Genomic DNA, 12317 nt, shown 5'->3' with positions numbered 1-12317 from the left:
CACGGCATTCCGGCCTGGGCGACAGAGCGCGACTCAGTCTCAAAAAAAAAAAAAAAAAAAAAAAAAGAATGCGAACAGCCCCGGATGGCCAGCGGCGGCCCTGCTGGACGGCTGGGTGCTCCATCTTGCATGGCCATCCCAACAGGAGGGGCACGGTAACAGGCCAGTTTGCTGCACACTCAGGGTCCTTGCACATTGCTGTGTGTCCCACCCTCATTTACAAACACTGTGTTTGCTCTTTGTTCAGGGGAGGGCTTTTCCTCCCTTTAGCTCTGAACAAAACCAAGGCGGAGGTCTCGAATGGCAGCCCCTCCGCACATCCTGGATGTGGAGTACGGAATGGCTGCCTTCTGACAGCAAGAGAGGGAGGCCCTCTGCAGTGCAAAGCCCCACCCACCGTGGGGCACATGGGTAATGGCTGCCCCAAGTTCACGCAGGTGGGGATCAGGACTTGGGAATGGGCATCCACAGCCGTCCCCCCAAATGCATCTCCAAAGCCGTGCTCACGGAGCCTGGGCAGATGCTGCAGAGGTCCTCACTCTCTGGTGCTAGATGCCCTTTGAGGCTTTGGATGGCCCCTGGAGACCCCCTCCCACCCTAGACTGGCCTCTGGGAATGGTTCCTGCCATTCAATTACTAAGACCCCACTCACTTCACGCCGCCAGAGCAAACATGTATACGAAAAACAGGTCCGCGAGGGTGGACATCTGGAAACTCCTGGCTGTGCCCTCGGAGAGGTGGCACTCAGGCTGCCGCTACCACGTGGGGTGATGAGCCGAGTGGCCTAGAAGGCAGCAGTTGCCACAAACACACTGGGACAGGCACGGGAGGTGGGGGACAGAGCCTCGGCCACGTGCACTTCCCGTTCATCTTGTGTCCAAGTCAGCAGCCTTGGCGCTGACCGGCTGTCAGCCCTTCCTGCTTGCGCTCAGGAAGGGAGGGATCAAAGAGTTCCTCTCGCCCCATCCCTGGTGTTGAGTTAACGGGGAGAGGTCCCTTAGCCACCTGGCCTGGGAAAAATGCTTCATACACAGGTCTCAAGATGACTCATGGCTACTGTCATTGTGCCCCCTGGCCAGGTCACTCCGTAGGGACACTCACAGCAAATAAAGTCACTAAGGAGGGAACATGCGGGCCTGGGCTAGGCCGGCAGGGGAAATGCTAGCAGAACAGTGCTGCCTGTTTTTGTCTTTCCATGACCCCATCCCGGTCAGGGGCTTCTCCCCCTCCCAGCACCGACCGGCAGTGTCTGTCATGACCCTTCTTCCCAGCTTCCATGGAAAAGCACAAGCATCTGTCCCGAAAACAGGCCAGGGCGCAGGCCCAAGTCCCAGAATAGGGACAACTGCAGGTGGGAGGAATTTAAGTAAAAAGGCAGGATGCACACCTGGGCGGTACCACCAGCCCTGGGGAGGTTGGGATGAGACGGGACGGTGGGAAGGTGGGGGGAGTGCACAGGCCTGGCAGGAGGGGCCTCGGAGAGGGGAGGGGCAGTGGGAGCCCCTATGGGGCGGGCAGAGGGCAGGAGGCGTGGCGGACAGGGCGCTGTGGGACCGGGACCGACCTACAGTCGGCAGGGATTGGGGCTGGGGAGGCCCTGAGGGCCCTGAGCTACCCCGGGCTCGCTGTCCCGAAGATTCCCAACGCGATCTAACTGGGCACAAATAAATGGACACGCAGGCGGCTTCCAAAAGAGGCGAAACCGTTTATCAAGTCGGCGCCGGGGCGGTATCTACAGTATCTACAGTATCTACATGTATCTACACCGCCTGCAGGCGGGGCTCTCGGGCTGTCTACACTGCAACTGCCGGCCGGGCCGCGGGCGACGCGGTCTCGGGGAGAACAATAAATATCACTTCCTTCCGCCTCCGACCGGGCGCTTTGGCACTGGCGGGCGGGGACCCCCTTGGCCCTCGGGGCCGGGGAAGGACCCGCGGTGGCTCCAGGGACTGGGGAACCGGATACTTCGATAGCCCAAGGGGCTGGGGGTGGCGAGGGGGCCCCCATGGCTTCGAGGCTGGGGAAGGGGAGAGCCGCGGTGGCCCCTGGGGCTGGGGGAACGTATTCCTTGCTTGCCCTTGGGGCAGGGTGGCCGGGCCCGGCGAACTTCGGGGCTGTGCAGGACCGGGGCGGGAGCGCGACAGGGCCCGTGTTATCTGGGGCAATAGTCGTAGGAGCCGGGCGGCGCGGCTCCGGCCGACGAGTACATGTTGGCGGCCGCGGCAGCTGCGGCAGCGGCGGCGGCGGCCGCGGCGGCTGGACTCACGGGGTGGTGGTGGTGGTGCGGATGCGCGTGCGGGTGGTAGCCGTGGCCACGCAGGCCGGGCAGCGGGTAGGGCGCCGGCCGGCTCTTGGCCCCGAGATAGTGGTCGTAGGCGGCGGCCGGATATTTGTAGGGGTGGTGGTGCAGCGGCTCCGATGCGCCGGGCGCCTCCAGGCGCAGCTCGGGGTTCGGGGGACTGGGCCGGCCTCCGGGCGCGCCGGGCAGCGGGACTAAGCCGCCGGCGCCGCCGGCCCCGGGCAGCGAGGGGCTTAGCACCCGGGCCAGCAGCTGCGGAGGATGCGCCGGGTCCCCGAGCACTGCTGGCCCGCCCGCGTCGCGCTGGAATTCTCGCCGGGCCTCAGCCGCGTCTGCGGAGAGGGCCGAGGAGTGAGCGCGGCCGGCCGGGGCCGCCGAGGAGCTCCGACGCCCCATGCGAGGCCCTGGCGGAGAGAAGGCTCTTGGCCGCCCTCGGTGTTCCCCGACCAGTCGGTGCCAGCGTGCCCGAGACCCCAAGTCGCCGGCGCCCCGAGCCCTCCCCGGGGCCCGCGCCCCTCTGCGGGCGGCGGCGGCGGCGGGCGGGGCGCAGCCGTCGGGCCGGGCGGGCGAGTGCGCGCTTGCCCGCCGCCGCGGCCGTTGTGCAACCGGCGCGAAAGCCTGGAGCGCCCCGGGGGCGCAGGCGAGGTCGGGCGAGGCCGCCGGCCCGGGGTAGAGCGCGCACAGGGCCGGAACCCGGATCCCACGACCCCGGCCCTACCTTTCTCCGTGCCGCTGGGCTGCGTCGGGGAAGCCACGGGGTTCCGCGAGCGCGCGAAGGCGCTCATGAGCGGCAGTGCGCCGGGCCGGTGGTTCCGGGGCCTGCGGGCGGGAGGCGGATCAGGGCGGCGCCTGCGCCAGGCGCCCGGCGCTCACTCTCTCGGGGGAGGACACTCACCAGTCCTCAGGGTCACAGTCCCGGAAGCCTTTCGCGAAGGGATTGCTGGCAATCTTGAGCTGCGTGATCTGCAGGGAGGTGGGTGTGAGCAAGCCGCTGGAGCCCTGCAGCCTGGGCCACCCGACCTCGGCGGAGGATAGGGGAGTGTTAGGAGAAGCGCACCAAGGGCCTTTCTGCTGCCCTGACAAGAACCAGTCCACGTCTGCCCCTCCTCTACGGAGCTGGTGCTCCCTCCTGCAGGGGGGCGGGGGTCTGAGGAACCTCCTCTCTCACTAGGGAACCCCTCTCTGGTGTCCCCCAGGTGGGTGGGGATGGAGGCCCTGTGCTCCTCGCTGGGACAGGAATGTGGTCACCACCCCCCACGTGCAGTGGGGTGGGGGGTGGGGAACAGAGCGGGTTCCCTAGTAATCTGGGTAAACCTCAGATCAGGCCCCTGATGGGGAGTTTCCGGAATGGTTCGGAAAACAAACTTTCAGGACGAAGTGACAGTTGCCGCTGGAGAGGTCAAGCTGATAGGAGGCTGGGCCGGCCAGCCTCGAGAGGGAGGGGGCTGCCTGAGGCCCTTGGGAGTGGGGCTCCAGTTGGGTTGGGCTCCACTGGGACCACAGCCTGCAGGTCTAAGCGGACCCACTGTCCCCAAACGGCAACTGAAAATTACACCCGCTTTTCCAGAGGCGTTGAATCCGCTCAGGTCCTCCCCACAGGCCCTCACCCGATGGTTCTGGTAGGCAGTGACCGCGGTGAATCGTGTCTCCTCGAACACAAAGGTTTTGAAGTTCTCCTCGGCATATTTCTCGCTATCTTTGCGTGGGTCCACATAGACCACGTGGAAGCGGGGCTGGTATCTGTGCATGGAATTCAGAATAATCTGGAAGACAAGGTGGGGAATCAGCTCCAGCGGTGGGGCTGGGCTGAGGATCTGGGGTGGGAGCCAGGAAATGGGCTGAGGTCTGAGTTGGCAATGAGTTTCCTGGATGAGTTGGGCAAAACCCTTAATTCCAAGATGAGGCTGGGTCACTGGGCCAAGAGGAGGCTGTGACCCATTGGCAACTGCCAGGAATGAGCTCCAAGTGGCAAAAGATCTGGGTTTAGGTTCTCTTTCCTTAGGTGCCTGCCCAGCGACCTCACTGGCCTGGACTCCATAAAGCCTCTTTCTCCAGCCCCCTTGCAGGGCCCCATCTTTTCCATTAAAAAAGCTTCCTGCATAAAATCAGGAGTGGGGTGAGAGAAGGAGGGCGACCCCTCTCCCAGGGCCCAGGCCCACTAGGCTGTGCGACCCCTGACCAGAGGCCGCTCTCCTCATCGGCACACCAGCACTGCCCAAGCTCCGCCTCAGCCTCTAGCCTCGCAGGGACTCTAAAGGGCCTCCTCGGGGACAGCCCAGAGCCGCCTGGGGACAGCCGGGGGCCTGGGGATTCTACAGGCCTCTTAGGGACAGGCGGGTGCCTCGGGACTCGAGGCCTTGGGGGACACCGGAGCCTGGGGAGGCAGTCGCTCACGTGGCCGTTGTCGTCCAGTAGGTTGTTGGTCAGCTTGAGCTTGTCGAAGGACACGATTTGCTTCATCCACTGCGCGCCCTTGGCAGGCGAGTCCGGGTGGTAGTGCACGCGGCCTGGCGTGGCAGGGTCGGCCTTCCCCGCCACCAGCCAGGAGGAGCTGTGGAAGGCGTACCTGGAGCGGCACGGGGTGGGGTCGTGCATGTGGAGGTGAACCCAGAGGGCCTTGACCCGTGTGCTGGGCGAACCCTAAAAGTGCCTTTGAGAAGTTTCCCCACCTGTGAGATTGAACCCTCTGCTGCCGCATGTGCTGGGAGCTTTTCCAAGGGGGACTATGGACTAAACAGAGAACTCCCACCCACCCCAACACTCAAAACAATCAAGGAACTGGACACCCTGTGGGGCACCGAGAGGGGGAGGCTGGGCTCCTGCCATCTCATTTCGCTGGATGCGGGTCCTCCCGCCCCGGTGCCGCTGCGGTGGGAGCCCACACTTGGCCTTGCCGGGCCTCAGGCACAGGGCAGTGCGCGTTCTCTTTATTAATTGCTGTTAATTGTCCGGGCAGCTGAGGCCCGCCCTGCATAATCTCTCCTGGCCACCCCACCTTTCCGGCCCAGCTCCAGGATCCAGAGTTCCCTGGGGATGGGGGAAGGGGACTAGGCGCTCAGGCCGGCCTCCTGGGAGAGGGAGACTTGAAGAAGTCCGGGGCTGAGTACTTGGCTGACCACCCTAGGGCCACACCAGCCCAGGGGAGCAAGAGCTGTCTGCAGCCTGCGGCTCCAGAGGCGGGTTCTGAGAGGGCATGGAGTAGGGTTGTGGGTCTGGGGTCAGATGGGAGTGGAGGAGGGAGCGGGTTGATCGGGCAGCATCGCAGGTGCCTAAAGAGTTTCATGGTGCAGACGACCCTTGGAGTTGGGTCACCAGGCGGAGACCCGCCACTTTCCAGGGTGCCCTCCCGGTCCCTCACGCTTACAACCACTCGCTCACCGGTAGCGCTTATCGTCCACCGGCACGAAGTCCATGAGCAGCATATAGTCGGCCATGGGATCCATGCCGAAGAGCTTCACTTGGAAGGTGGGAAACATCCGCCTGGGGGTGATGAGGCCTTGGGTCACCCTAGCTGGTGGAAGGCAGCCCCCCTTGACCTGCCTGGGGCTGGCGGCCCCTCTGCTCGGCCCCTCCCTCCAGCCTCTGGGGGCTGCTGTGTCGTCCCAGCCCTTGGGCTCCATCTTTCCTGGCTTAGCTGCTCTAATCTGGGCAGGCCCCTACTCAACTGGGAGCTTGGCGCAGCAGGGGAGCCTCCTGGGCCGTTCCTGGACACAGAAATGGCCAGCCCAGCGCTGGAGCCCCCACCTTCGGCAACCTTGGCCTACATAAACTCGGCCTCGCCCTTGCTGACTTTTTGGCCTCTTGGTCCCAGCTTCGGCCGGCAGCAGGGTGCCTAACGTGCGCCCTTAGCAGAGCCTCCCCAGCTTGATCGAAGCAGCTCCCGGCTCCAACAAAGTGAAACCGGGTAGTCCTGTGTGAGTTCAAGGCGTCCCCGCTGCCCTTTTAGCTGGGTCTTCGGCTGTTACCCAATCCCCTCAGTGAGGCCAAGGCTCAGAGCCCTCCCTCCCCTGACTCTCAGGGCCCCTCTCTATCATGGCCCCATGATAAGAGTCTCCCCACCTTCCTCAGGGCACAGGGCAAGCTTCCACTCCCCTTAAGACACATAACCCCAAGACGCAGCTACCCAGAGTGTACTCAGTTTGTGTCTTTCCTGTTCCTCAAATCTCCCCCGCTTTGGACCCTGGCTCAGTGACCAGTCAGGGCTCTTGAAAGGACATTCTGCAGTGCCTGGACGGGTGTAGGCCATGGGCTACCCCCACATGATGGCACAGCAGTAGTGGCCGTGGGGCCCTTCAGGACAACACAAGGATTGGCCCTCACTTGCCGTCCCCTCTGCCTCCCCTCACAAGCAACTCCCTGCAGGCGGTGGGCAGAAGACAGATGCCAGGAGCCAGCCTCTAGGACAGGCCCGCTCCCTCCCCCACCCGAAGCCTCTGCAGGCTGGAGGGTGCTGCGGGACGTGGGCTCCCGGGTGAAGCCCAGCGCCGACAAGGCCCTTGCCGGGCTGGCCTGAGCCAGCGGCTGGGCTGCCGCTGTCCTCAGGAGGGCCTGTGTGCCTGGGGACAGCAAGGAGGGCCTGGAAAAAAACCACAGAGCTGGAGCAGAGCACAGGCCCAGGTTCCTCAGAAAGGACGCCGGCAGCAGGGAAACAGAAACCACGAGAAGGCTTTGCAAACAGGCCCTGAGCTCCCCTTGGCTGTTCGGACTCCGAGCTGGTGTGTACATTAGACACAGCGCGGCACCCGCCTTTGTCTACCGGTCAAATCGGGTGCATCTGCAAAACTTGTTCCCCTTGTCTCTTGGTCTTTAAAACAAATACAGGCCGGTTGGGAGGTGACGGGCCGCTGGATACAGAGCCAGGCCCCACAACTATAGGGATCTAGGTTGAAGGAAACTGGGTAGCAACTTCCACGCAACAGTGCACGCTGTTTTTAAGGGTAATCCTCTCCTGAAAGTGTCCAGAGAGTTGCCCGGCTGCCGCTCTTTATCTTGCCCGCATAGACTGAACTCCAGAACTGAACCAGAGTTTTCTTGAGGTGGGATTTACTAGGAGTCGGCCGGGCGGTGAGGCCCCCTGGACGCCGCTGCCTGCCCCCAGCCGGGTGCGCCCCAAGCCGGGCCGGTTTCTGGGCCGCGCGGCGTCCTGGGGCTGCGGGGCGGGCGGGCGAGTCCCGCGGGGCTCCTCGCCGTTCCCGTGCGGCCCGCGCCGTCTCCTCCCGCCCCGGCGGAGGATAGGTGTTAGGAGGGGAGCGCCGGGCGGCTGTCGCCGGAGCCGGGACGGCGAACAGCGAAGGAGGCAGCGGGGCCCAGAGGGGCCCGCAGGTGGCCAGGCCGCGCCCCCGACCCGGCTTTCGGCCCCGCTCGCGCGGATCAGGCGGAGGCCCGCAGCCCTGGCGGCAGCACGTGGGGAGGGTCGCGGCGTGGGGAGGGGCGCCCTGACCTGCCGGCCTTGGTGACGATCATCTCGGTGCCCAGCTGGTTGAACTCGTCCCACAGCGCCTTCATCTCTAGCTGCACGCTCACACCGGCCACCTTCGCGTTCTTCTTCACCGGCGCCTTGGCTGCGGCCGCGCAGCTGGCCCCGGGGCCCTCGGGCTCGGCGGCGGCGCTGGTGGCGGCCCCGGCGGCCGGCGCAAACGGGTAGGCGTGCGGCGGCGGCGGCGGGCCCGGGGCGCCGGGGGCGGCGGCGGCGCACGGGTCGTAGCGCGGCGGCGGCGGCGGGGGCTCGCGCGGGCCGTACGGGTCGGCGCCGGGCGACGCGGCGCCCGGGAAGCCCCCCGCGGCCCCCAGGCTGCTCAGGCTGCTGGCCGTGAAGGCTGCAACGTCGCAGAAATGCGAGAGCTGCGTGAGCCACGGGCTGGACACGGCGGAGATCATGACCCGCGGGCCGCCGCCGCCGCCCCCGCCACCAAGCTGAGCGCTGCCCCGCGCCGCGGGCCGAGTGGCGGGCGCCGCGCTGCGTGCGCCCCGGGCCGTGCAGCCCCACACCGCAGGCCGGCCCCGAGGAGGCGCCCCGCCCCGCCCCGCCCGGGGCCCCCCCACCCCCGCGCGGAGACAATGGACTAGATCCCTCCCCCGGCCCTCGCCCCTCCCCCGCCCCTTCCCCCTCCCCGGCCCCCAGCCCGCCCGCCGCGGCTCGCTCGGCCCGGGGCCCCCCGACCGCCCGGACCGGCTCACCGGTGCGCCGGGCCCGTCGGCCGGCCCTCGCTCTGCCGCCCGCCCGCGTGCGTTTCTCCTCTCTCTCTCCCAGACGTTCTTTTCCTAATTTGTTATTTTACCTTTGTCGTCCTCATTTAAATTTTCCCTCCCGATCATCTTTTTTCTTCCCCTATCTCTGTAGTTTCTCTTTATTTCTGTTTTACTTTCCGCCTCTTCCCCTTTTCCTCCATCCTCGCCTTCCTTTTCACTTTATTTTTAATCATTCTTTGTCTTTCTTTTAGTCGGTGCCTTTCCTCTTATTTTTGTATGTCCTTTGTTTTTTATGTTTTTCTTTTTAAAAAAAAAAAAACTAAAGTCTTTCCTTTTTTTCTTTTTTATGACTTCGCTTTCTGTCTTAAATTTTCCCTTCGTTTTCTCTCTTCTCTTTCGCTCTTGCTTTTTATTGCCTTTTCGTGTCCTTCTGTTTCTCCCCTACCTTCTTCTTTGGGTTTTTTGTGTTTTCTCCCCTTTGCTCAATTTCGTCTCCACGGCTTCCTCGAGGCTTTCTCTCCTTCTGTGAAACTCTCCCGCTCTCTCCTCTCTTATTAACTTTCCTCCCCCCTCTCCAGGCTCACGGCCACCTCTGCTCTCCTTCCCAGCCTCACTCGCCCTCTTCCGGGCCTGTGTATACCTGAGTGCCCATCTCCAAGCTGGGCCCCCAGGCTGGTGAGGGGACAGGCTGTGGGCGGGATGCCGGCTCTTCCTCTCTGCCCCAGAATCGCAGCCAGAAGCCTGGAGCCCACGCTACCAAGAGCTGCCTCCACCTACTTTGCACCCGGGCCCCACAGCAGCTGAGGCAGGGGGTCTGGCGGGCGGGCCAGTGTAGACACGGCCTGGAGGCTCACCTTCCATGTCCCTGGTGACGGTGCTGAAGTGCATCCCTGCCGGGGATCCTGGCAGCCAGCGAAGCTTCACCCGGTCGGAGGACCCTGAGCCCTGGTGGGCGGTGCGCTCCGCCGCCTCCGCTGCAACCAGAGAGGCGATGCTGAACGCACTGGCTCGGGGAGACAGCGGGCTCCGCGCGTCCATAGGCGCCCGGCGGCCTGGCCGGCGCCGCCTCCGACTGCGTGTGCCCAGCCGCACCGCGCCCAGCCCAGCCCAGCCCACGGAGTCCGGGGGCGGGGGCCTGTGGTGCCACTCACTGCCAGGGGCCCCTGGCCCAGAGGATTATGGCGTCATGGGCCCCCCACTTGGGGCTGGTAGCAGCCGAGGGGCCCAGACGGGTGGAGCACCCTGGAAGTGCAGGGCCCTCTTGCTTTCCAAGCTCCCTGCCCCCTTCCTCCATTCCCAGGGACCTCCATGACCAACGCCCCTTGAACATCCCGTTGCTCCTGCCAAGGCACGGCCTTTCTCTGTGCAGCGAAGCCACCGTCAGCTTCTACAGCCCCCCGAGGAGAGGTGTCTATGCCAGCAGCACCCAGCCCTAGCCCGAGGTGGCAGGGCACCCATGAAGCAGCGAGTGGCTGCCGGAGCCCAGCCCTGCCCCTGCCCTTGGCCCCTCCCGCCTCCACCTCCTCCCTGGCTGCCCCTGCACCTGGGTGAGGAGAGGGCAGCTTGGGCTCTCGCACCGGCCACTGACAGGAGCCCCAGGGCCGCAGCGTCCTCTGTTCCTTGGCGCAGCAGGACAGGACCCAGCCCAGTAAATGCCCAACAGCCCCCTGAAGTTGGCTCACTATCGTCGCTGGAGACCCCAGCAGAGGGACGCTGCCCAGGCTGCGCAGCCCGCGAGCCCGAGCGTCACGCGCACTTGCGCGCACCGCCCGCCTCTGGCCAGGACGCTTATACATCCGGAGGGTGGGCAGTGCCCGCTCCTCCGACCTCCCTGCGCACCGGCCGGGCGCAGGGAGGGCCGGGGGCGGAGCCTGGCCAGCCGAGGGAGCCGAGGACACGAGGACATGTTGGAGAACTTCAGGCCACTGGGTCGTATGCTGCCCCCCGGCACCCAGCAGCCAGCCTGCCTGCCGGGAGAAGCTCTATGGCCCGACCAGGCTGGGCAGAGTGAGGCCGAGGCCCGCCGCTCTGCCTGGTTTCTAGGCCCAGGCATCCCAGACGCCAAGGCCTGACTTGGCCTGTGCGTTTCCCCACCTACTGTCTCCAGGGTCTCCTCTAACCAGTTCAGCGCACCCATGGCTTTCCTGTACAGGGCCTCTCCAGCTGGGTGTCAACCTCAGCTCTGTGCCTCTGTGCCTTGCTGGAGCCTCTGTGCCTTGCTGGAGCCTCCCTGGTGCTGGTGGTCAGGGCCACTGTTTGCAAGGCCTCTCTGTATACAACCTCATTGCAGCCTTCGCTTGTGCATGCTCAGGATGGGAGTGGGAGGCAGGCAACCTCTCCCAGGGTTTTTAGGATCTCAGGACCTCAGACCCTGGGCTGGAGAGGATGCTGGCTGGGAACTGGGAAGGCCCAGTAACGGGCTGGGGGGCTGGGCGCCAGTGGGGAGGCTGGCCCTGGGCCTGAGGTTCAGGAACGCATGTGAGTCCAGGGCCGCAGTGGGTGAGTATACGAATAGTGCTGCCTGTCTGGGATGTGGTGTGTGTTGCTGCCTGTATGGGGTGCCTCATGTCCTGCCCCCCACAACCCCTGCCGCCTGCAGCTGGAGCTTTGTGGGCCATGTCAGAAAAGGGAAGCTGTCCTTAGTGCATTTTTCTTGCCCTGAGTAGTCATTCTGGGCCATGACAGTGACAATGACTTATGTCTCTCAGTGTCACTGAGGGGACCCAGGGACAAGTCCAGTGAGGAGTGCTGTGTGGGGATGGACCAGCTGGTTCCAGGCCCCTTTCCTTCCTCTCTGAGCAGGACCAGCCATTGTCCCCAGGAGCTGCTCCTGCAGGAAGGACAGTCCCGTGGAGGCGGGTGGTAGGGATGCTGGTGGCCGCAGATTTGGTAGTGTTGCAGGAGACGTGCCTGTGTTGGCAGTCTGCACCCAGAGAGGCCTGGGCCAGTCGGTGGGGGCATGGGGGTGGGGCTCCTGCATGTGCCCCAGCCTGAGGGTATGCCCAAGCTTGTGTCCTGTGTACATCTGCACACACCTCAGGGCACTGGCCAGATGTGGGGCCTGTGGGTGAGGCCAACATTGAGGAGGGAGAAGTGAAAGTGAAAAACCCTGGGGCCTCCTGGAGACTCTGGGTCAGCCGCTCAAGGATCGGTCCAGAGGTCCCCAGACCTCTGTGCCTGAGGTTTGTAGGGAGGAGCAGAGCCCTTCCAGCCCCCATTAACCCCTTCGTGCCTGAGCAGGACCTGCAGGCAGGCAGGGGCGGCCAGCTTGCCACAGCAGAGAAGAGGCCGTCAGGGTGGAGGAAACCCTGGTCAACCAGAAGGGCGACGGGAAGAGGTGAGGGGCCCCACCCAGCCGGCTCTGTTGGCCGACCCTACCCCACCGGCTGCCTATACTCACTCGCTTGATTTCGGACCCCCGGACCCCGTTGCTCAACGCTGGGACCCTCCAGGAGCCCTCGGCTAAAGGGGCCCGGAAGCCCTCGAAGCGCGAGGCCGTCCCAGCCTCCAGCCGGAGCCGCCGCCTCCACCGCCTCCATCGCGCAGCAGGATAGGGCTCCTCCGACCCTCCCTCCCGCCTAGGGCACCGCCCCGCCGCGCTCCGCCGCCCCGCCACCCCGCCACCCGCCCACACTCCTCTTCACCTGCCGCCACCCCACCCGTCGTGCCCTCCCGCAGCCCGGAGGGAGCGCGCCCGTCGGATGGCCCTAGCCCGGCACACGCGGGTTCCGCACGCGAACGCAGCGCCTCAGCACGGCCCGCGGCAAGTGTTCCTCCCTCCCTCACCTGGCCCGGCCGCGGTTCCCTTCCTCCTCGCTCCCCCTGCCGG

The 12317-nt window shown here is 65.1% G+C and overlaps 1 protein-coding gene across 7 annotated transcripts in view, besides 6 other annotated features; it reads right to left on the bottom strand.

The window, feature by feature from the left end:
- Positions 1 to 12317, bottom strand: part of TBX1 (T-box transcription factor 1) — a 26891-nt gene extending 14574 nt beyond the window's left edge. For 2 of the 7 annotated variants that reach the window (NM_005992.1, NM_080646.2), the window contains exons 1-8: positions 12275 to 12317; positions 9343 to 9462; positions 7740 to 8115; positions 5678 to 5779; positions 4694 to 4865; positions 3907 to 4062; positions 3195 to 3262; positions 3018 to 3118 (exon numbers count right to left, since the gene is read on the bottom strand). In NM_005992.1, coding sequence (NP_005983.1) covers positions 3018 to 3118; positions 3195 to 3262; positions 3907 to 4062; positions 4694 to 4865; positions 5678 to 5779; positions 7740 to 8115; positions 9343 to 9376 — 1009 coding nt within the window. In that variant the 5' untranslated portion in view covers positions 9377 to 9462; positions 12275 to 12317. Of the gene's footprint in view, positions 1 to 1685; positions 2632 to 3017; positions 3119 to 3194; positions 3263 to 3852; positions 4063 to 4693; positions 4866 to 5677; positions 5780 to 7739; positions 8243 to 9342; positions 9463 to 10031; positions 10253 to 12274 lie in introns of those variants that run through there. The other 5 variants (XM_006724312.3, XM_017028926.2, NM_080647.1 and 2 more) reach the window with 5 other exon arrangements.
- Positions 5386 to 6328: an enhancer, noted in NCBI's record as "H3K27ac-H3K4me1 hESC enhancer chr22:19750215-19751157 (GRCh37/hg19 assembly coordinates)". NCBI's record gives its function as "activates a minimal SCP1, AML or CMV promoter by ChIP-STARR-seq in naive H9 embryonic stem cells {active_cell/tissue: H9 hESC(naive)}" and the evidence as "EXISTENCE:reporter gene assay evidence [ECO:0000049][PMID:30033119]".
- Positions 6488 to 7187: an enhancer, noted in NCBI's record as "VISTA enhancer hs515". NCBI's record gives its function as "enhancer in: limb[5/8]" and the evidence as "EXISTENCE:transgenic organism evidence [ECO:0001131][PMID:17130149]".
- Positions 10255 to 10764: an enhancer, noted in NCBI's record as "H3K27ac-H3K4me1 hESC enhancer chr22:19745779-19746288 (GRCh37/hg19 assembly coordinates)". NCBI's record gives its function as "activates a minimal SCP1, AML or CMV promoter by ChIP-STARR-seq in primed H9 embryonic stem cells {active_cell/tissue: H9 hESC(primed)}" and the evidence as "EXISTENCE:reporter gene assay evidence [ECO:0000049][PMID:30033119]".
- Positions 11044 to 11922: an enhancer, noted in NCBI's record as "H3K4me1 hESC enhancer chr22:19744621-19745499 (GRCh37/hg19 assembly coordinates)". NCBI's record gives its function as "activates a minimal SCP1, AML or CMV promoter by ChIP-STARR-seq in naive H9 embryonic stem cells {active_cell/tissue: H9 hESC(naive)}" and the evidence as "EXISTENCE:reporter gene assay evidence [ECO:0000049][PMID:30033119]".
- Positions 11379 to 11458: an enhancer, noted in NCBI's record as "active region_18662". NCBI's record gives its function as "activates an Ori minimal core promoter by ATAC-STARR-seq in GM12878 lymphoblastoid cells {active_cell/tissue: GM12878}" and the evidence as "EXISTENCE:reporter gene assay evidence [ECO:0000049][PMID:35858748]".
- Positions 11759 to 11818: an enhancer, noted in NCBI's record as "active region_18661". NCBI's record gives its function as "activates an Ori minimal core promoter by ATAC-STARR-seq in GM12878 lymphoblastoid cells {active_cell/tissue: GM12878}" and the evidence as "EXISTENCE:reporter gene assay evidence [ECO:0000049][PMID:35858748]".

This window comes from Homo sapiens, chromosome 22, assembly GCF_000001405.40.
Source record: "Homo sapiens chromosome 22, GRCh38.p14 Primary Assembly".
Lineage (NCBI taxonomy): Eukaryota > Metazoa > Chordata > Mammalia > Primates > Hominidae > Homo > Homo sapiens.
This window is presented reverse-complemented; position numbering and strand designations above follow the sequence as displayed.